Below are 22562 nucleotides of genomic sequence, written 5' to 3'. Positions count from 1 at the left end.
TTTTGCATGCCCAAGAAATCTATAGCTCTCATGATGTAACCAGCATTAACAGAGTAAGCGGAGCCAAAATGTTTCTCCAGAATATTTAGCAGAATGCACAGTTCAAGAAAATTTCCAAAATTATCTGATCACTTCACTTAAAATGTTTAGAAGCAAATTCTACAATAATGATCAGTGGCAATGAAAATGATCTCAAGTTGAGAAAAGGGTTACTATGTACAAAGCTGGAGAGTCTCTAAATGATTAGCCCAAGAATAAACTCATTTTCAAACAAGAGGCAAAATGGGTGAGATGGGACACAACCTAACCACAGAATCACTCTAGTATGTAGACTATAGGACTTTCATATACTTAGAAATGACAGATACAACACTATTTTCAAGGGCAGAGTGACATATTTAGCAGAGTAATAAGTTGAAGGCAACATTTATACGACAATGATAGTTTAGAATTTTAGATTCCCGAGAACTTACAGTGCCGTGATTAGGAACATGGACTCTAGTTCAAAATAAGAAAAAACATGTCAGCTTTAGAACTGTTTTACTCTGTAAGGTAAAAACCACAGCATTTTAAAGGCCATAGCCCACCTCAGATCATTAAAAGAAATGCTTTCAGGTTAACTGCTTATTGTTTTTTTCTGCAAAGTGCTCAACTGTAATATCCAAGCTAATGTCACACACACATGCCCAGAAATCAGTATGCCTGCTGCCACTATGGCTAGAAGCAGCAAAAATCCAGCAGAGTTCAGTGTGATAATCATGGAAATATATGACTCACTAGTCTCTCCAATTTGCATCTTTATCCAAGGACGCCTAACCACACCCTCTGGGTTTCCAGGCACCACCAATAATGTCACAAAAGTACCAGACAGGCGGACATACATACAGATGCATGCTGTACTGACCACTGTCAGCTACCCAGATAATACAGCATTTGCCCTGCAATCAAGATAAATAGCTGAGGAGTCATAAATCTCTTTTCTTTATACTGAGATGAATATAAGGCTATGACTAATTATTCTAATCATTCTCATAATTTTTCTATTACATTCTCTCAACATGAGCCAGATGATTATAAAATCAATGTAACTAGCAGAAGGCCAAGCAATTAGGACAGCATCAGAGGCCTAATCAGCTCAATTTTTATCTGGAAAGGCCCTGTGTGTTTTAAGAAGACATTCATCCAAAACATGCTATCTCCACCTAAATGTCTGAGTTTCATTAAAGATTGAAGGGAATATTAGCAGCATTAACTAGGCCAGGCACTTTCTGTGTACTTTATATGTATTAACATGTACTCCAAGAAATGCATACTGTTTTCATATGCATCTTGCAGCTGAAAAAAGTTTAGAATGGCAGAAGAAGTTGGCTGCAGACCCTAGATAAAAAGTGCTCCGACTCAGAGAGAATGGGAAACCCCTGGATGAAGCCGTTTCTGAGCACCTAGTATTCAGCCAGATATTAGGGAGATGGTCTCTGCTCAAGGACATTTGTGTTGGTGAAGAGATGAACACAAGGGAGAGCAAGAACAGTGTAATTATGTGATAAAGACTACAAGTGCCATTAAAAGGATGGATTTGATGACAGTGGGAGTAAATGTCACTGATGCAGTGGTGGTGGTGGGAGAAGCATAAAGGAAAAAAGGGGCTGGAATCAAAGTGAAGATGTTTTCACTGACAACAGATTAAATGAGAGATTATTATGGTATAACAAAAGCAGGATAATGATAAAGCTGGTAGAATGAGAGGAAAACCACCATTTATTAAGCCCTTACTGGTTACCAGGGACTGTGCTAAATGTTTTTCACACATTTATCTCTGTAAGAACCAGATGAAGGGAACATGGTTATTCTCAAAGTGCACATAAGGAAACCGAGGCAACTTGTCCAAAAAGACTCAGTTAAGTGGCAGAGCTGAGATTTGAACCCAGGTCCATTGAACCCAAAGACTGTATTCCTGTGTACTAGGATACACTGTTTGTCTTCATTCTCAAAGTACTATAATTTCAAGGAATAACAAATTAAACTTTTTAATTCTTAATATCCTGGTTAATCTGATAAATATCACTTGATAATTTTGTGCTAATTTTTTTTTTTGAGACATGGTCTCACTGTGTCACCCAGGCTGGTTGGAGTGCAGCTGCTCAATTGTATCTCACTGCCACCTCAAACTCCTGAGCTCAAGTGATCCTCCCACCCCAGTCTCCTAAGTAGCTAGGTATAGTTCCGTGCCACCATGCCTGGCTAATTTAAAGAGATGGAGTCTTGCTATGTTGCCCAGGCTGGTCTTGAACTCCTAGCCTCAAGCAATCCTTCCACCTCAGCCTCCTGAGTAGCTGAAACTACAGGCCCATGCCACCACACCTGGCTTACATTTTTTGTAGAGATGGAGTCTTGCTATGTTGCCCAGGCTGGTCTTGAACTCCTAGCCTCAAGCAATCCTTCCACCTCAGCCTCCTGCGTAGCTGGGACTACAGGCCCACGTCACCACACCTGGCTTATATTTTTTGTAGAGATGGGGTCTCACTATGTTGTCCAGGCTAGTCTCAAACTCTTGGGCTCGAGTGATCCTCCTGCCTCTGCCTCCCAAAGCACTGAGATTATTATAGGCATGAGCCACTTTACTCAGCCACTATTTGTACTTACAAAATTTTCAGATACCAAAGGTTTAAACTAGGCAAAAGTGGGACCACTACCATTATCACTAAATCACCCGATTATAAAATGACTAATGTAGAGAATCAGTACCTGAAGAGGTGGGCTTATTGTTATTAAATATTATTATTTACCCTTAAGTAAGTTCCCAGATTTTAGCTTTTTGTGGTTAGAATTAGATTATGTACATAACGGGCCTTTTATTTTGTTCAATCCACAACAAAACCTTCTTATGTACTTTTGATGAAGCTTGAAATTAGGTTTGTAGGTACCAAAAGCAGAGCCTCAGAAGAGGGTGAACTGATGACAGCAACTTCTACTGAGAAGAAAACACCAAAGCTGAGATAACGCTGACCTCAAATGCAACACTGTAGGCAATAAAGAACAATGGCATTCGAACATAAAGCTGTTTCCAAAATCTACAGTTATGTATCGGCCGTACTTGCATCTTCAGAACTGTTAGAGGGAAATCACCAACACTTGATGCCTCTAACCTACTCATACACGCTAAATTTCCTTTCTCTTAATCTTAAGGAATAACAGATAAATAAAAAGAGAAACAGCTTTCTTGCCCATAGTTTTTTATTTGATATTAGAAAGGAAAAATAAGCAGCCAAAGCTGTCCCTGAACATACACCACAGGGAGGAGCTGCACAGAGGGCCCAGCCTTAGTACACAGCTCCTGGTAAGGCCATTAGCATGTAACTCAGTAAAACTGAGTATCTGTGATTCTTATCAGCCACCAGTGATGAGATGCTTGCTGTGTATCAGGAAGCCAGAGGCAGCGGTATAAGTGGAAAAGCCAGAGCCAGACTGCGTGACTCCACTTCTCTGATTCCCTTTCCTCATCTGTAAAATGGGAATAACTAACAGTACTTAATTCATAGAGTGTTATGAAAAGCAATCAGGATAACACAAGTACTTATAAGAGTGCCTGGCATTTAGTAAACATTTCATAATTCATAGAGTGTTATGAAAAGTAAACAAGATAACACAAGTACTTATAAGAGTGCCTGGCATTTAGTAAACATTTCATATCTATGATTTATTGTTAGGTGCTACTTGCTTTACATGCACAACCCTATGTTCTAGGTGCTGTGATTAATCTAATTTTCTAGATGAGGAAACTGCCTAACAGGGACCAAGAAGCTTGCCAAGGCTACTGTCATTATCAAGTAATAGGGCCAGGCAGACTCCAAAGCCTGGGTTCTTCCTTATTATATTACCTCCCTAGAGCTTACATTTAAAAGAAACTTTTCAGCAAAAAGGATTGAAATGATATTCTTTGGCTTTGAGGGTAGGCTTCAGTTACTTGGAAAATTCACACTGGTAGACTGGTCACCTTGATGATGCCAGGTAGATAAATTGTTAATGGCATTTACCTTCCTGACAAGATGCTTAGCTGCTGCAGTTGATTGACTTAAGGTCTATTTAATAAAATATCCCTTCTTGCTTACTCTGGAAGTGTGTGAGTATTTATATAAATACCATTAAGATTCCAGAGGTCCTTAAGTCACCCACTCTATGAGCAATCCCTGTAAAGTTCATTTAACCCTTGGCAGATCTCTCAACCCTATCCCAAATTCCGACCAAATCTCCATGGGCAGAGAAAAACAGAGCCCTAGCATAGTACTTGGGTCAAATCAGTGCAGCTCAGACCTTACCCACCCCCTTCCCTCCACCCTGCTCCAACAACTGGCCTGTTAGCAGGTACTGTTAACCACACCTCTAGTGGATAGACCTCATTTTCAGGAATTCAGCCCCCTGCCCCTCCTGTCTGCCCTCTCAGTCTCTCAGAGGCCAAATTCAGGCCTCTCAAGGTGTTTGGTAATACCTTTGTGTCAACTTAGGAAGATAAAGCAAATATGAAACAAAAGGACATTATCAAGATTTCCTGAGTTAGGACACAACAAATAGATTTTTGTCTAAATCCCACTCTTAGGATGCATGGAGTGTTGTGGAGGTTGGAACATTTTATTTCCTGCCATAAAAAGAAATCTCTTTTCATTTATGACACAATGAAGTCAATAAAGAAAGGGCTTCATTATAGTCAAAAGACCAATGAATCTCTTTTGGAGATAATCTCTGTATAAATAAAATATGCCAACAAGGTTGGTTTAATCCCAAGGGTTTTAAACTGCATGTTTAAAACCCCTTTATATTCTGGCACCCTGCTGAAGCCAGTGACCTTCAAATTATTAAGATGTATTTTAACTGCTGGAAAGGCATGAATCATTTCTGAATTTCTAAGCTACTGGTTAGCAGCAACATTTTGTTTTGTAATGCTCTTATTAGAAAGTTAGATTTTCTAATTTCCAGAGAAAAGCATTCGTTAGGACATTTGTGTCTGACAGTATGCATATTTAGGAAAGCTCTTTCAATATGCTCTATAACAGGTTAATTTCATGAGCTAAGTTCTGATTTCTAAAAGTTTATATATAATGAAAGCCTAAAAGAATAATATAATGTAGTGAATGCTTCATTAATAATTGTAATATTCAAGTTTGTTTTTTCAAAAGAATATTCCTGAGTCACTAGATTTTTATAAGTACCTGTCAGTGTTAAGAATATTATGGATCTTAAAGACAGAATTTTGTGACCACTTCAGTATTTTAGAAGATGGAAAGCATATGAGGGGACTGACAGCTGTGTTACTGCATTCAATTATGCTTTATCCTCACACCGAAACAATGGGAAACCAGTAACCAGGGAACATTTTCTTTTGAAAAACCCTTAGTGAAATATATTGAGTCAAAACCCCTTTCACTCTCCTGCAGAAGTCACAGTTTAACGTATCTCTCCTGCTCCTACTTTTCCCATATGTCATGCATGGAACAGGCACTAACCATTCAAAATCTATCTGATAAAATAATTGATACTACCTTTATAGTGATTGGAAGCCAACCTCAAAAGCACTTCTTTCAAGCTGGATAAATACTCTTGCATTTTGAGTTTTTTCTAACATGGCTAATTAACCTCAACCACCATATATATTCACAGTCTCTGTCTAGCATTTCCATATTTTGCATAAGTGTTAGGTGAGACCAGGGGAAAAAAAAAAGTCTTCGTTCTTAAAACACTGTCTTTGCTATACTAAATCAGAAGAACACACTGAATATCCTAAATTCCTGTTAGAATTAGTAAAACTGGTCATTCAAAATTCTTCAAAAACTCCTATAAACTGCTATCTCAAAGGGAGGAGTATCAAAGGGTTAGCAAAGCTTTCCTTAATCATTTACCTATTTTATAATAGTTTCCAAAAGTCAGTATAACTTACTGATTCCACGTATGCTTTGGGATTTAAAGATACAAGCTATTTATTTATGAATTTTAGCCACAGCAGAATCATCCAAAGTTGCTGAGTTAGTGTCTAAATTTGTTCAACATTCAACGTGGCTGTGACTTGTTTCCTAAGTCATTTAAATCACACAGACCTGTTTTTGTGCAGGGAATGGATGTCTTGCTGAGTTGAGTCTTTCTCTCAGGAAGGAAAAGAATAAAAATAAGTAGAGAACAGAGATGAGAGGGGAGATTTTTTTAATATGGGGAAAATGTCAACCCAAGAATTATGAAATTCCCTCCAGGAGGATGAAAGAGAATTTAATGAAAAACCAAATGGTCAGTGCTAGTGAGAGAAGTTAATGATCAATAACTCAGAAAAAACTAAAGAGAATATTCACATGTATTTGAAAATGCCTTGATTTAATGAATCAATATCCAAATGAGGAGTCTGAAGTCTTGAGATATGAAAACTGTTACAGTCGTATGCCAAGAGGTGGCAGAGCCATTTATAAGCATCTGTGCTTTGAAGTCACAGAGATAATTCCAGTGTTAGCTCCACTGCTTAGCTCTGTAACCTTGGGCAAATTAAAAAAAAGTCTCTGAACCTCAGTTTCTTCATCCAGAAAATGGGGGTGTCAACTGTACCTGTCTCTATAGGACTATAGTGAAAATAAACATACTTTGTTGGTAAAGCTCAATAATTATTAGATAACAATTTTTTAAGAGGCTAACTGTAAAATAAGCTCTGGGAACACAGTGTATTGCATATTCCACAGTGATGACCCTGGAGCTCTATTTTTACAACAGCTTGGTACCAGAATTTTCAACTTCACCCTGCTGCACATATTTTTAGCCAGTATAATGATTCAGTTTACTAGTTATGTCTGTTGTCTGCAAATATCTTTAAAAAAATCAATTATAGAGAGTGAAGAGCCCAAGTGGTAAAATAATTTGACAAATCTGGGGTCTGGTATTATTGTTATTTAGGTTTTGAGCAGGGATAAAATATAACTGAGATTGAATGGGTAGAATAAATACTTCATAGGAGCTCTATAAATCTCGTATTATTTTTAGAAATAAAAACAATTGGATAATTTCTAAGATAAATCATTTAAAATGATTCCATGGAGGTCTCCATTAAAGAAAAGTTGTGGTAAAAGCTTTAGTAGAGTGAAAATAACTCACAAGTTTGTTAAAAATTGAATTGTGTTTTTCTTTTATGAGACACCGTTGTACTGCTATAACTAAAGAAGAAGAAATCCTAAAGAATAGAACAGTGAATTGTTTAAAAAGTGCTTTGTGAATTAAAATATTTTCCAAATGTAACTATTAAATAGGACTGTGGGGTTTTATTTACCAAGCTGAGAGATTGTGATCAAGCTGAAAGCTCTTTAAGGAAAGGTCATTTAGGGTAACTCTCAGTTAAGGGTGAAGTAAGTTCATTTGTTTAGGCATACTCCTAATAAGGCTATGTTAGCTATGAAGACCTGAGAGAACAGATGAGCCTCACTCGTCATTTCACTAGGTAAGCCCTTTAACATCACACTGCCTTACATTTAAAATAATTCATCTTTACAAACGTGTTACAGCTTGTCAAGAATGCCTCACCTTGCCAACTGAGGTACAATTGAATACATGGGCTTCTCATTCAGTGGAGAATGTGAAGCAGTCTTCTTTTGATATAGTTATATTACTAGTAGTGAGTATGAATTAGGAGAAACATATTTAAAAGGGAAAAAGACACATTTAAAGAAATGCCCCTGGGTTTTGAGTATTTAACTTCTTAATTAAATAGGTAACTGGGAATGAAACAGAAAACATTCAAAAGCAATTTCTGGTCTAATATACCTACTCAAAGGTGTTGCAAGGCATATTCAGAGGATCCTAGTGAATTGAAAGTTCTAAAGCCTATATCAAAGAAGAGTGATTCAAGGTAGGGCACACCTAGTGGATGTAGTTCGGTGTCAGGGACACAATTTTAACATGAGAGTCATGCAAATGCTCTCTCTCCATGACTGCTGGGATTACCAGTACCATGATTTGGGAAGGAAAGTTGCAACAGCTTACACGTTTCGCTTAATGTATGGTTTCCAAAGTGCTTTTACAAATATCATCTACTGTTGTCTTGACAGTTACCTCAAAAGGCAAGGAGAATAGGCATCCTAATTAATTTACAGATTCTGGAAACTAAGGTTCAGAGAGGTGAAGGCACTGAACAAAGATTTCAGGGTGGACCTAGGTTTTCTGATTCCTAATCCAGTGGTAAAAGAAAATAGAAATGGAAAAACAGCCCAGTAAGTATTTCACCATTTAACTCTTCAAAAATGGATTTCAGTTACACAGCTACCAAACAACTGAGTCTGTGTCAGACAAATCAGGTCAGAGGGGAGAAAGGCTGCCAGGAATTTTCCAGTGGTCAACACATATTGTAGGTAAAGCAAGAGGAAAAAGTATATGCACGCTATTGTGCAAATCCAGTAGATTCAATGAAACTACTTATTTCATGCTGATGAAGACTGATGATTCCTGTCTACCTTCTCTACTCTCAAAGGAAAAGTAGTCTCCTTCAGCAAGGAAAAAGGGGCAGGGTTAGTGGAGAACACACAGTAACACAAAACTTATCCTATCTTTATGAGAATTAGTTTAGCAGCCACAAAATGCTCCAACAGGAAGTTAATCAGAGACTTTCTGTTAATCTTCTTGTTTCTGTGTGGCAAGTTTTAGTGAGAAAAGCTGACTAGAATGTACAAAACATGGACAATCCCAGTAATATCTAATGACTTAGCAATATACAGACACATAACAGGGCAATTCAGTCCACAACCATAACCACACGTAGTGACAATCTGCAAACAATAGAAGCATTTCTCCATGGTACCCAAAGAATGACTCTACCTCTGAGTTTCACAGCCAAGACCTTTTTAGAACTTTAAGGAAATTTTTCTAACGTTCATTCATGTAAGTACTTAAAGAATACCTACTATGTGCCAAGAATTATTTTAGCACTGAGGATATAGCCACTTGCCCTTATAAAGCTCTCATTGTAGTGGGAAGAGAGCAAAGAAAAAAGTAAAATAAATAGCACATTAGCTGGTGGAAAGCATTATGGAGAATAGGGCAGATCAGCAGGATGGGGGAGCTTCAGGTGTGGAGGAGGGGTGGCATTATAATCAAAGTGATGCTTCTGTTTGCAAAAGAGTAATGTCAAGAGGATAGATGTATCTAAAATATCTGAAGATACGTATTTGGAAGCACATAATGAAACCAGGACGTAGAAAGTTAAAATCTGGCAAAGAAGAAGGGATGCCAAATAAAAATGGTGGGTGAGATCTTCAAATCCCACATCCTATTACACCTAACCCACTGCTGAACTTCTAAATGTCTATGGCATTTGCTAGGATTCACTACAGTGTGCACTCCATTATTCCCTACCCCAACACTAACCAAGTGCTTTATCTTCTTACTAGAAGAAAAGTGAAATATCCACCAGACCAGTAATGTATTCCTCTATTTCCACACAACCATCGTAAGAACCAAAACTTTGAACATTAAGATACATTATTTTAGAGGAAAGAATCTTAGAAAAATATCACCTTTAAAAAAATGTGTCACAAATTGTGATTTAAAAATATAAGCACAAATTGCCTATGCAAATGAAATTTAGTCCAAGTAGATACTAAGAATGTTTTTGTACGGTTTTTCCCTTTTTTCTACTGTACTTCCCTTTCCTGCCTATGACTGTATACTACATTAACTCAGTTATTTGTTCTTCTAAAGAGAATTTCTTATACTGGGCAAGCTTTAAAAGGCTATAAAATATTTTGTTGTTTTATCACATAAAACTGAGAATAAAAGAGAAAAACAATTAGCCCATTGGAAATAAGAGCAGTGTCTTACTTACCCGGAATAGGAATAATAGGGATACTTTCATTAGGGACCACTCGAGGTGAACTGCTGTCTTCCACATAGAAATGAGCAGTCTGAAAACATTTTCTGTGTAGAAAAGAGAAAAACATGTCAATAATAGAATATACTTTATTTGAGTTCATCTTCTTTTAATTCTTATTTTATAGATCTTCCCAGCTTTAAACATCACACAGCACTGAGGGTAAACTCATGTAAAAGTAACAAGATACAAGGACAACATTCAGCCTGTTGGAGGGGCCCAAAATTGCTACAGCATATCCATTTTTTTTATCATCACCGCATCCAAACTGATAGTTCAAAGGGAAAGGCTTAGTATTTAACTACTCAAATACGTGAAAACATGGTAGAGAGTAAACCTACCACACAGAGTGCTAGGGTTATCTCACAATATTTCTAAATTTGGTACGTTACAGAGGAATAATTTGCTATTCTAAATCCCCAGCACCAAGTTCAAAACCACACCTTATATCCCCTTCCAACATCGTCATCAAACAGCCCAAGTACACAATAGCACCACATTGTTCATGCAAAGGCCCCCTAAGCCTCAGACAGCTCTTTAAAGGGGTCAGAGGGCTTCAGGAAGGCAAGCACTCAGAATCAGAGGCCCTTGCCAGACAACATCTGAGACAAGGTCTTGAAGCCCTTACGTGTCATCTGCTTGTTTGTTTTTTTTACCTGTATTTCAAGCAAAGCAGAGAGCACACACTGGTCATCATAGGACAGGCAATGAAGAGAAAAGCCATCAGCAGCTCACTCAGCCTCTGCCTCCGATGCTGGCTGGCCCTCAGCTTTCCTGCATCCACGTCACTGCTCATTGCGGCCCTAATGAGCTGCCGGAAGCACAGGCTGAATATTTAATGAAGCTGCTCAGCGTGAATGGCTATTGTGACCAGAGAAGGGTCCCTGTTCATTTGGCGGAGGGGCTTTACAATAGCTGGCCCTACTGCTGGGTCTTTTAGCCAAGCAGGCGGCATCCTTCTGGTGCACAGTGTCACTGGGATCTGTCCTCCTCTGGCGTCGCACACCAAACAACATTTACACACATTACAGCTTTGCTTTTTCTGGGGCCCGTATTCCAACTACCAGATAAGTCAACTTTTCTTCACAGTTGTCTTTGCTCAATCTAATCAAAAATATCCTGGGATGATTCCATTGGGCATACCCTGTTTCTATGAGGCCAAAGAAGGGGCTAGGGTTGGGAAGGTTAGAGAAAAATCAAGAAACTATAAAAAACAAGATCTCCTTGGGAGTGAAGAGACCACAGAGTTACAAAGATGTTTCCATCTCAGGTTTTATACAGGCTATTATAACCACACGCAATCAGAAATGATCACATGTCATAGTATGAAGCGCTGTTCTTTAAGCAGTGCCTATTTTCAGATGGAAAGTAGCTCTAAGCAGTTTCCATTTGGATAGTGCTCTAGAATCAATCTAGACTGCTGCTCCATACCATTAGGAGATTTTGAACGTCAGTTACTACAACTCTTGACACATGCCTCCCAGGACTACTCTAATAGAGCACTGAAGAAAAATGAGCGTGTTTTTTTTGTTTCCTATGAATTGCTCAGCATTTATAATATAAATAATAAAACAAGTTTTCATCACTCTTTGCGTAGCTGCCTTTACCTAAATTTGTGAAGAACATAAGTTAGTCAGACTTAAGCTACATGGATATGAAATGCACATAATATTATAGGGCTCTGGTGCTAACCAAATCTTCTGAATGTAAAGCAATGGAAATCTATGTGAAACAAATTATTTTGATGTTTGAGATAACTTCCTTCTCTCTCTAAATTAGTTATTAAGTTTTCTACTCTTGGATTCCTTCCTCTCCTCCCCCACCTTCTCCAATTTGCACAGATTTCCAGAATGTAACATTAAAGTTAAAACACAGGTTATGGACTTCACAAATGAATGAAAGCCTTAACCATCCAGTATCATAGCTAAGGAAAACCTGCTTTTGTTGAGTTAGAGGACAGCTATTCAACTACTTAATAGCCCAAATAAGTGCTCTAAGTCACTAAGATGAATGGGATGCAATTTACTGGGTTAGCCTTTAACTTGAAAAAAACAAATGCATGCAAGAAATAACTTTGATTTTAAGACCATAATTATTATGGCTATTAGACTTCTAAAATGTAAAGCTATTAGTAAATACAATTGTTATTGGCCAAGTTACTGTTAAAGTGACTTGGAAAGGATATATATATATACTATATTGTAGATTTTTTTTTCCCTACAAGACAGGCAGACAGTTCAGCCAGTCTCAGTTATATGTGGAACTACAGGCCCCACATTATCTTTGAAAAAAGCAGTGTGTACTGAAGCAAATCACACTCTAGTGCCCCATGTGCTGCTGTTTATAATGGATTTTCCCTGGAGCAAAATAACTCCATGATTGCCAGCGAAAAGCACACGACTGGGGATAAGGATCAGAAACCTGGGGGACAAAGCTCCGCATCTGTACCTTGCTGCACATCATGCACTTGCCTCCCACACAAATATATGGGTGGGCAACTAACTACAGAACTTTGTGGGGAATGTCTTCCCGTAGAATAAAGATTTCAATGGATTTGGCAAATGTTTATTCAGCACCCACTGCACAGCATCAAGTATGCAGACAACACATTCCCGCCGCTGTCTGCAATCCTTAAAACTACTTCCTTAAGCCTGGCTAAGCACTGGAGTAATTGATAAAGTATTATATAAGCAACAGATCATCTTTGCAGAAAAATTAGGCAAGACAAATGAACAAAAAGAAAAAAATCAATTAAAAACACCCAAAATCTTCCTCCTAGTGATGATCACTATTAATATTTTGAGGTCTATCCCTGTATACTTTTCCTCATTTATTCACTATTCCTTGATCTATCTGCAGTGAGGAGCTGGGAGCACAATGATAAACAAGACACACAAGGCACCTACTCTCCTAGTATTTATGTCTTCATGGGGAAAAATCCACAACAAGCAAATAAATTGCTTCAAATAGTCAAGAGCAATGAAGAAAATAAGAATGATGTGGTGGTAAATGAAGTCGGCTGAAGGAAGGGACTTCACTGAGGAGGTGGCATTTGAGCTGAGGCCTGATTAAGGAGGTCTAACCCTGTAAAACTCTGGAGGAAGACCATTTTAGGCAGGTCAAGCAGCTAGTTGAAGAGCCTTAGAGCAGAGGGAGCTTGGTGCATTTTAGGAAACTGGAAGGAAGCCAGAGGCAAGGGAAAGGCTGTGGAAAGCAAGGTTGGAGAGGTGGGCCAGAGCCAGATCATGCAGGATCTAGCGACCAAAGAACCTTCACTGGTGTCTAGGAGCAGGGGACAGTCAATGAAAGGCTTTAATCCATGGAGAGGCACCATCTGATTTGCTTCTTTCAGAAAGCTCATTTTGGCTGCTACATGATGAATGGATTAGAGGGCAGCAGAAATGGAACAAGGAGATCAATCTGTGGGCTATTATTATAGTCTCACCCAAATATAGACAGATGGGCTGTTTTCCATTTTTTTTTCTGGGTATTGGGGGAGTATGTATTTTATTTTATTTTGAGATGGAGTCTCGCTCTGTCATCCAGGCTGGAGTGCAGTGGCACGATCTCAGCTCACTGCAACCTCCGCCTCCCAGGTTCGGGCGATTCTCACGCCTCTCGTGCCTCAGCCTCCTAAGTAGCTGGGACTACATGGGGGTTTTATTTTTAAAAAACGAAATGAGATCATTCTATATGCATCTCTCCTTGATAACAAATATAGACTGGCATCCTCTTTATTAATGTTTGCTTAATCTTCCATTTCATGGAGGCATTACAATGCTGGTATTTAATTTATTCCTTTAATAACTATCTATTGGGGGGTCTACTCTGGGCCAGGGACTGATGAAGGTGGTCAGTCTATTGTCAGCTTTTCATGATCCTTAACAATATGAAGATGGTCCCTTTGCATGTACAAATTCTACACTGTGTTTAATACCTAAGAAAAGCAGCTGCATATCACATGACATTGTATTTTAACTTGCTCATTTCAGGGAATTTCCACGAGAAATTATGCTTCTTGACCTTCAGAGGTATCCAGGAATAAAAAAAGCAAAAGCAGGGATTTTGGAGAAAAGGAAAAGAAAAACACAAGTTTTAATGCCTCTAAACCTCTGAACTGTGATCTACTTAAGGAGGCAGTATTGTCTCTAATTTTGAGCGCAGGGGAATGGAGATAGAATTTCTCAAAGCGCTGCCCAGACACAGTGACTCACGCCTGTAATCCCAGCACTTTGGGAGGCCGAGGTGGGTGGATCACAAGTTTGAGACCAGCCTGGCCAAGATGGTGAAACCCCGTCTATACTAAAAATACAAAAATTAGGCAGGTGTGGTGGCACGTGCCTGTAGTTCCAGCTACTCGGGAGGCTGAGGCAGAAGAAACGTTGGAACCTGGGAACCTGGGAGGCAGAGGTTGCAGTGAGCCGAGATCACACCACTGCACTCTAGCCTGGGCAACAGAGCAAGACTTGGTCTCAAAAAAAAAAAAAAAAAAAGAAAGAAAAAAGAAAGAAAGAAAGAAAAAAAAGAATTTCTCGAAGTGCTTACGTGTGTCACTGAGCGTGCAATTTCAATTTTCTATCTAGGTCTAATTCTCTTTCAACTAACTTACCCTTACAGACCCTCCCTGAATGAATCAGATTTCTAGGATCACAAAGAGCCATTTTCCAAAATTATCATTTCTCTTCAGTGAACATTTGTATATGTAAGTACCCTAAAAAGGGAAATCAATGAAATAGATGTTTGTAATGAAAAAGTATGTTTACAAATTTAACTACAAAGTATAATCCAATGATTCCCCACCATATATTTCATGTTTCCACCTCTGCCCTTTTACTTCTCATCCCTTCCCCAACGCCTGGGTGCTGTCTGTGCCCTTTAAGAAACTGAGGCCAGGTAACATTATTTTCACTGACTCTGACAGGCCTAGTAATGACCCAAATTAGTTATCTTCTACTTCCCCCTATTGTACAATTTGCAGCATATATCTTTCTGACACTTTAAGTACTCTGATTTAGGTATGCCTTAATTTTGGAGGGCCCTGAACAGTCAGTCAGTCTGTCTCTCAGTCTCTCTCTCTCTCTTATCAGTAAAGTATCAGTCAAATGGTGGTTATTAACAAGCAGTGCATAGCTCTTTGGCTTAGGGAGCTTTTAGAATACCCAGGCAGGGTAAGCCCCATTCATGATGATTCTAACAGAGCAGGTGCAGGGTGGGGTATATATAGCTCTGTGTATTGTGAAGACTCCCTCTAGGGATTCTGGTATGTACTGTGTCCAATTATGAACCACTGTGAGAAAGGGAAAATGGCTCCTGAGAGTCCACCCTTGTGGACTGCTATACTTGTCTGGTAGGAAAATTAATTTCAGTTTCTATGAAGGCATTGAAGTTGTCAATATTTATTTCAATATTATTAATAATAATGATGTTCCGACATCCTGAATTCCAAGTTTCCTGCCACTTAAACCAACTGGAAAACCACTGTTTTAGATGGCTTTCTAAAGCCCACCCCCATCAACAAGATACCCAAGATAGAGGGACTTACATGAAACATTCACTGAATGCTCCCAGATGGGTACAAGAAAGAGCTCAGTTTGCACAAGTTATCTCCTCAGTTCGAACTCAGTGGGTATGTGAGACAGAATGAAAGTGAAACGGGAAATGTGAATCTGTTGGTCCCTAAGTTGGTCCCATTTCTCATATCCCTCTCACAGAGTAAGCATTTTGCCTCACCGAATGAGCGTCTCTGTTCAAAAGAATGCACTTTTCTTACAGCATAGCCCTAAATGCTACCGAAGTGCTTCTGGTGCTTGACCAAAGATGACTAACATATTAGATATATGCACATTTCTATAGAAAGTTCCAAGTAGCAGAGTGGAAGCAAGCTTCCTATGTTACTCTCCATTCGTTCATCCCTTTTTAGAAAACCAAACACGGGCTCATATATCTTCAAAAGATTTCTAAGAAAGGTTTGATTGGAAGTCCAGAGGGTAATGTGTGATAGTAGCTGATCAAATCTGTATGGCATCTGGTTAGCAGTTTTCTGGGTCTCAAGCCCACAACCCACACCTGTGGTCCAGATCTGTACAGTGTCTGAAGCCCTGATGGTAGCAATGTGCAAGTATGCATGGCTTCTTAAAAGCCCACATGGGACACATGAAGCTTGTGATTAGGAATATTTTCTCTTGGACTGAAATTTCTAAAAATAACCTTCCATGCTTTCAAATAAGGGAGATATTTTAAGGATAAAGACCTCTTTAAAAATAAAGTCTACTCTTGGGAAAACAGAGCACACACAACGTGCAGAGTACATCTTTTAGTCAGGATGTGAAACACATCGGCCAGTATCAGCTGTCAACGTCAAGTCCCTGAGCTCCCTGCTGAAAAATATACACTGCCAGCACATGACAGGTTCCAGTATGTTTAATTGGCCTTCTTGACTAATGAAACACACACACGCCCAGCTGCTCTGACAGTCCTTTATAAGTATTAATAAAATTCCAGTTATAGAGACTTACTACCCAAACAAAATGTAGCAAAATAACCAAAACAAACAAACAAAAAAACCTCTAGACTTCTGACCCCCCATTTCCACCCAGGAATTCTTAAGGAAGAATACCCAGAATGACCAAATTTCTGCATAAAGGCCTTTTCTTCTGTGGCTTCTGTTTTTCCGGGAACCTGTTTAGATAACCTCTGATATGAGCTAACAATTTTCTTATATCTTTTTCTGCCCTTCTGACAAGAACCTGGAAATAATTTAGTGACCAATATTTTTCAGAAGCAAAGTGCTGAACTTGAGTGCAGAAAGACTGAACATTAGAAATGTCTGGAATTCCACACAACACTGCTGTATTAACAAACAAACAAACAAACAAACAAACCTCCTTAAAAGGCAGGTCTCCAAACCTGCTTACAGGAAAAAGGGGTTCCTGAGGTTTACAGACATCTGGGTCAACACGTACACCCACTCTGAGAAGCTTGGGATGTCACATTGTTCTCATCCAGGGTCCTCTGCTTACTACAACACTGCCCTGAACAACATCATGACTACTGGACATGGGCAGGGTGGAGGACCACAGTGTGGCCTCCAGACTCATATGAAAACCCAGAATCATGAACTAACTGATTGTTGGTATATAGGAATTAGAAACCAAGTGACTGTCTTCAAATTAAACTCAATGGTTCTATAATCACATCAGGGTGGCAAAGAGTTTATTAGCAGTGTGTAGCTCAAAATTCTAATTGCAGACTAGAGAGGGCAGTTAGCTGAGCTGCTGCTGAATATTAATTATACAATCTTAACTGATTTACACACTGCCCTCATTTAAATTTACAGTAGCATACCCGCTAATAATCCCATTTATTTTCATGCTGTCAAGAAAAGAAATCGCATTAATATCTACTTTTGTAAATGGATCTGTTGTAGTAAACCCTGCATGAATAAGAGCCACTTACAAATAGAAAGTTGAAAACGTTCACATGCTTTCAAGGAAGATGATTGAGAGCTGTATTAAAAAGGCATGGATTGATTTATTAGGGCAAAATGTTTCAAGAAATTGAAGTGACAAATACAACAATAAAAGAAAAAGGCTGTAGGCGTTGTTGGGCTTTTCCTCAAAGAGGAGTGTCTGAAATAACTCCGGGATTCCACTTGGAAAGGAGCCCAATGTAAGTTCTAAGTTGAGATTTTTCATATACAACAACTCACTTGCTGTTAAGTTTCTTTTATGGCATGTTAAGTGATTCAGTTTATAAAACTCAGTTTACACTTGTAGTATCTCTTCCGGAAGGGATCTTCTCAAAAGAAAAACTCAAACCAAAATATGTTTCTAGTGGCCATATTTTCCAAATCATAAAAGGGGGCGTGAGATTTGACAAATGTCAATGTGCTTTGGGGGATAATCAAATGGCAAGTTTCACATGAGGGCTGTGGAAGTCCCAGGGCATATGGCTGTCATACCTTAGATAAGCAGGGCTTAACAGATATGAGGAGAGAGAAAGGGAAAAGGGAAGAGAAAAGAGAACAAAATCATGCAGTGATGGATGGGGTGTGAAAGAGGAAACAGATACTAAAACGAGGAGAGAATGTTTCAAAAATATTTTGGATTTCACATGAATAGGAGAGATGGCCTAGTCGACTTTTGGTACAGTCAGAAGTGACAAAAATCTGATTCCCATAGTGAGAATTTTATTGGATGATTCAAATTGCCTGCAATTAACATCTTTAGGAAGGTGGGAGAAAATGATAAATTATAGGCACAAAAGTGGTCTCAAAACTATATTCTCTTAGCTAGGCATTAAGTTTGCCAAGAAATCCTTGCAGATACCTAGGTCTGACTGAAGTACTGGTAATACTTTCCAGGAGATAGGAGAGAAAAGGTCTCTTCAGAAACCACATTTTGATGAGACCGTGACAGTTCTTTTATTTTAGCTGGCTTTGAGAAAGTGAGCCCTGGACAGGACTTCCCAAGACTTCCAGCTATTACTTAGAAAAGAAGGCTTGAAGTCAGGGGCTTTAAGGTGTCTGTCTCACCCTTCAGACCCTAGACTGGAATATTCTGAACATCTGGACTGAGGCTTGAGGGGCTCTCCACCTCATTTGCCACAGTTTTAAGGCACTGACACAATATCCCACTGATTTTGGAAGGTTAACAGTGATGTGATAGTCCAACTCATTTTGGGGAGGAGGTAAGAAATGAAATTCACATTATATTTACTGCACATATTTTTCAGTATTTATAATCTAAAATGTCTGGGTAAAAGCCTCTTGGCAACTCCTTATTTTGTTAATATACTGATTGACTGTATTTTGCTGTGAGTGATATTTTAAGGATCTAAGAAGGTATTATATGCCTCTTCACTAAGCCCCAGATTACAGTATTTTTTTTAAAATACTTGAGACCATCTCGGGGGGGGGAAGTAGATTCAGACATCACACGATCAACCAGGTTAAATTCCAAATGAATTTACTATTAAAATTTGAAACCATAAAAGTGATTTTAAAAAAGAGTAACCTCAGAATGGAGAGACTTTTAAAAGAAAACTCAAAATCTAGAAAACAAAGCAGAAAATATAGATAAATCTGATTATATAAACATCAAAGAAGAACCATAAATACAGTTAAGAAGTAAACTATGAATTGGGAAAAAATATTTGCAACTCACATTGCTACCAAGGGATTATCTCTCTTCATTAGAAAAAGACCAATAACTCAAAGAAAAAACAAGCAAAAGATATAAACAGTTTACAGAAAAACAAATGGTTCAATCCCACTTATAGTAAGAGATAATACATTAAAATCACACCGAGACACCGTTTCTTTTTCACCTATGAGGTTAGTAAAAAGGCCAAAGTTTGACAATGCAGTGTGCTGGGTTGGCTGTAGGGAAATAGCATGCTCATAGACTGCAGAGAGAAGCCCACCTTGGTATCCCATTATGGAGGGCAACTTGGCACCATACATGCACAATAGCATGTACCTTGTGATACAGCCAATAAATTTTCCTCTGAAAATTTTCCTACAGACATGCTTATCCACTTGCAAAGTGACACATAAACTTATTCATCACACGATTGTTTATAATAACAAAAGACGGAGAACAATCAAAATGACAGCCACAGAGGATAGGTTAATTAAATCATGACACTTCTATACAAAGGAATACCATGCTTCTGTGTAAAAGGATGAGGAAATTATATAGGCATAGGGAAATCGTGTGTTAAGTGAGAACAGCAAGGCACATGATTGCATATGCTGTATTCCATTGTGTACAAGGAGATAAAAGGATATTCATTATTTGCTTATATATTATATATGTGTAACAATCCCTGGAAGAATAGACAACAAACTAGCAATAGGGGCTACCTATTTGTGAGGAGGTAGGGAGCAGGGTGGGTGAGTGATGGGATGGTAATTTAGTGGTGCATATAATTTTAAACTTTTTTATTTTGAATCATGTCAAGTATTACTTACTCAAAACTTAAATCAGCTTTATTAAAAAATTAAATACTTGGGTCTGATCTTCAATGTTTTTTTCCTCTCCTTTCTGGGAGGATAATCACCTCTCACAGCTGTTGTCCTGCTTTTAGCAATTCTCTGTGCAACGCGTCTTAGCGGCACAGTCTCCTTCCTTCCTGCTGTGGGACAGGGAGATGACAGGGGCAGAAGAGTAATGCCACATGAAGTTAATGTGTAGGGATTCTGTAACAGCTCTTGTAGCTGTTTGGAGGGTTGCAATTTAGCTATCACTGGGGGCTCTTCTTTTGATTCCTGGCCACATTTTAGGTGGAGATACAAGCCAGGAAAGAAAATGAGAGCGGAATGAAAAAGGCAAAGGTGAGAGAGAGCCTGGTTGAAGGGCTTGCATTCCAGCCTCCTGCAGAAGCCTGACAGAGGTAGGGGGCACCCTGTCTTTCAAAGCCCTTTTATAGAACAGCAGCAGGATGGACATGGGTCAGGAAAGGAGGCAGCAAAAGTGCCTGGGGAGAGAGCATGGGGAAGGAGAGGGGACAGTGGGCCAGAATGAGGAATTGTACATTACAGCAGGGCGGCTAGCGTAAGAAGCACAGACATGGCGCCCCTTGAGGACAGGATCTGTATCTGGCCCATATCGTTTTCATGGAGTACTTAGCATAGCACATGTAGCTGTGAGAGGGGGTACTGCTCAGGATTCACGCCGCTGCAGTGGAGTCCCAAGGCAACCACTTAGGCAGGGTGGCTTAGCCAAGTGACAACTTCTCAGAGCCTGAATTTCCTCATCTTCTCAATGGGTTAATATATTTCACACACTAAGCATTTTACATATACTACCCCCATTTAATCTTCACAACAACCTCATGAAAAGTTGCTATCATTAGACTCATTTTCTAGATAAGGAAACTAAGGCCCTATGGGCCCTTCCTAGTCGCAGGGCCAGGAAGTGGCAGAGCTGCAGTTAGAACACATATCTCCCTGAGCCAAAGTCTGTCTTTTAAGCTGCTACACTATTTAAAAAAGTAAATGATATGATTCACAATCAGAGGGATTCTATAAATACCTGTAGTTTCACAAGATGGTTCCCAACTCCTAGACCTAGATGAAACTGATTGTGCTTCCTTCACTGAGCAGCAGAGAAGATACCAGAGAGACTGGGGCATCTCTGTTAGGATCTAAAATATATCTATAATGGGCCCACTGACGTGGGGGTCGAAGTACATAAAAGAAATAGTCTGGCAGGCTACATCATCACTTCTGGGGAGGACCTGAAATTGGATGTGCATTTATCTTTGTGATATTCATAAGGTGATGCTGGGTTTTTAAAGTGTTATAGTCAAAAACACAACATATTTATAATGGACTGGGTATGACAGTTAAGCATTTAAGTGATGTCCAACGTCTTCCTCTCTTAAGATTAGTCTTTGACTCCAAAACTATACAGAGAAATTTCTATTTCAGTTTCTATCCTTAGTTTTGAAAATGTATTAGAAATTAAAGACATTAATAAGCAAAAAGGGATCACAGAATAATTTAGTTACCAGTGTTAGCAGTTATTGCTTTCCCTACAAGGCCAAAATTGCACAGTACAGTGTAAAAGAAAATAGATCATATACTTTCTCATTAATCTGTCACAACTCCTAAACTATACCTTCTCAGATTTCATAGGTTTATCTGATTATAATAGTTGGATATCTAAAATTTCATCTCAGTATTCTGATTTACCCACAACCAATGGAGATGAATCATTCCATGTAAAAATTCTAACATAAATCCTATAAATTGGTTCATTGAAAGTAAAAAGGGACTGCTCCTGACATAATATGGATTAGTGAATTAGTCTAATTAGCAACTTAATATTAAAAGATATTAATATTAAATACAGTTTGCCTAAGACAGGCCTTACAGAAATATTATCAAGAGACTCAAGTGTGGTGATTAAAACTGTACAATCATGAGTTCCAAACATTTACTATAACTCTTTCCAGGACAATAATTTTTCCAAGTATTCAAACTATCCAGAACTCATATGCATTTCCTTTTTTTAAAAAAAAAAAACAACTTCACCATTCTTAAGGAAAAACACATAGTACATCCATGTTTGCTCACTTCTCTCTCCCCTTCCTACTCTTCATCCCTAACTTATCTACAAATTTAGGTTTCTAAGAGGTATTTTTCACATAAGGCTATATGCATGCATTATATGTTTTTTTAAAAGCTCAAAACCATGCAAATATCTAAAAATTTGGAAAGAAAATGGATGCAACACACATACAGACACACAAACATAGAGCACCCCCAGTACATACAAACCCGGAAACAAATAACACCCCCAAAACTGCAAAATAAAGCAAAGCAAGCACACACAGGACATACTTTTAATTGGTACCAGCTACCCACAAGCTGAATTGATATTTGCAAGTCTTACTTTTGGGAATTCAGGTAAAGCAGGTGAGTTTCAGCACTGTGCCATCTACAAGACTTCAATCCCCATGGCAACAAAACAAAAATTTGGCAAGCCAGTCCCGGCCATCAAGACGCCCCCCACTTAAGCTTGACCGCCCCTCACCTGCTCCCCTTCTCTCCTCTCTCCCCAGAAGAAGGCACTTCACGGAAACGTCTGGGAAAGCCCTTGGACTTTATTTTGTTACACCCTCTAAATGGACAAAAAACAAAAGAGAACAGGTGTAGAATACAGTATTTTCAATT

General features: G+C 38.8%; 1 protein-coding gene across 7 annotated transcripts in view; it reads right to left on the bottom strand.

Annotated features, from left to right (window-relative positions):
* PTPRG (protein tyrosine phosphatase receptor type G) overlaps nucleotides 1–22562 on the bottom strand; it is a 736039-nt gene that overhangs the window by 43876 nt on the left and 669601 nt on the right. For 5 of the 7 annotated variants that reach the window (XM_017006961.2, NM_002841.4, XM_047448646.1 and 2 more), the window contains 2 exons: nucleotides 22423–22509; nucleotides 9836–9927 (listed from right to left, as the gene is read on the bottom strand). In XM_017006961.2, coding sequence (XP_016862450.1) covers nucleotides 9836–9927; nucleotides 22423–22509 — 179 coding nt within the window. The remainder of the gene's footprint in view (nucleotides 1–9835; nucleotides 9928–22422; nucleotides 22510–22562) is intronic. The other 2 variants (XM_017006963.2, NM_001375471.1) reach the window with 1 other exon arrangement.

Source organism: Homo sapiens, chromosome 3 (genome assembly GCF_000001405.40).
Source record: "Homo sapiens chromosome 3, GRCh38.p14 Primary Assembly".
Taxonomy (NCBI): Eukaryota; Metazoa; Chordata; class Mammalia; order Primates; family Hominidae; genus Homo; species Homo sapiens.
The sequence above is the reverse complement of the archived record's forward strand: the minus strand, read 5'-3'. Positions and strand labels throughout refer to the sequence as shown.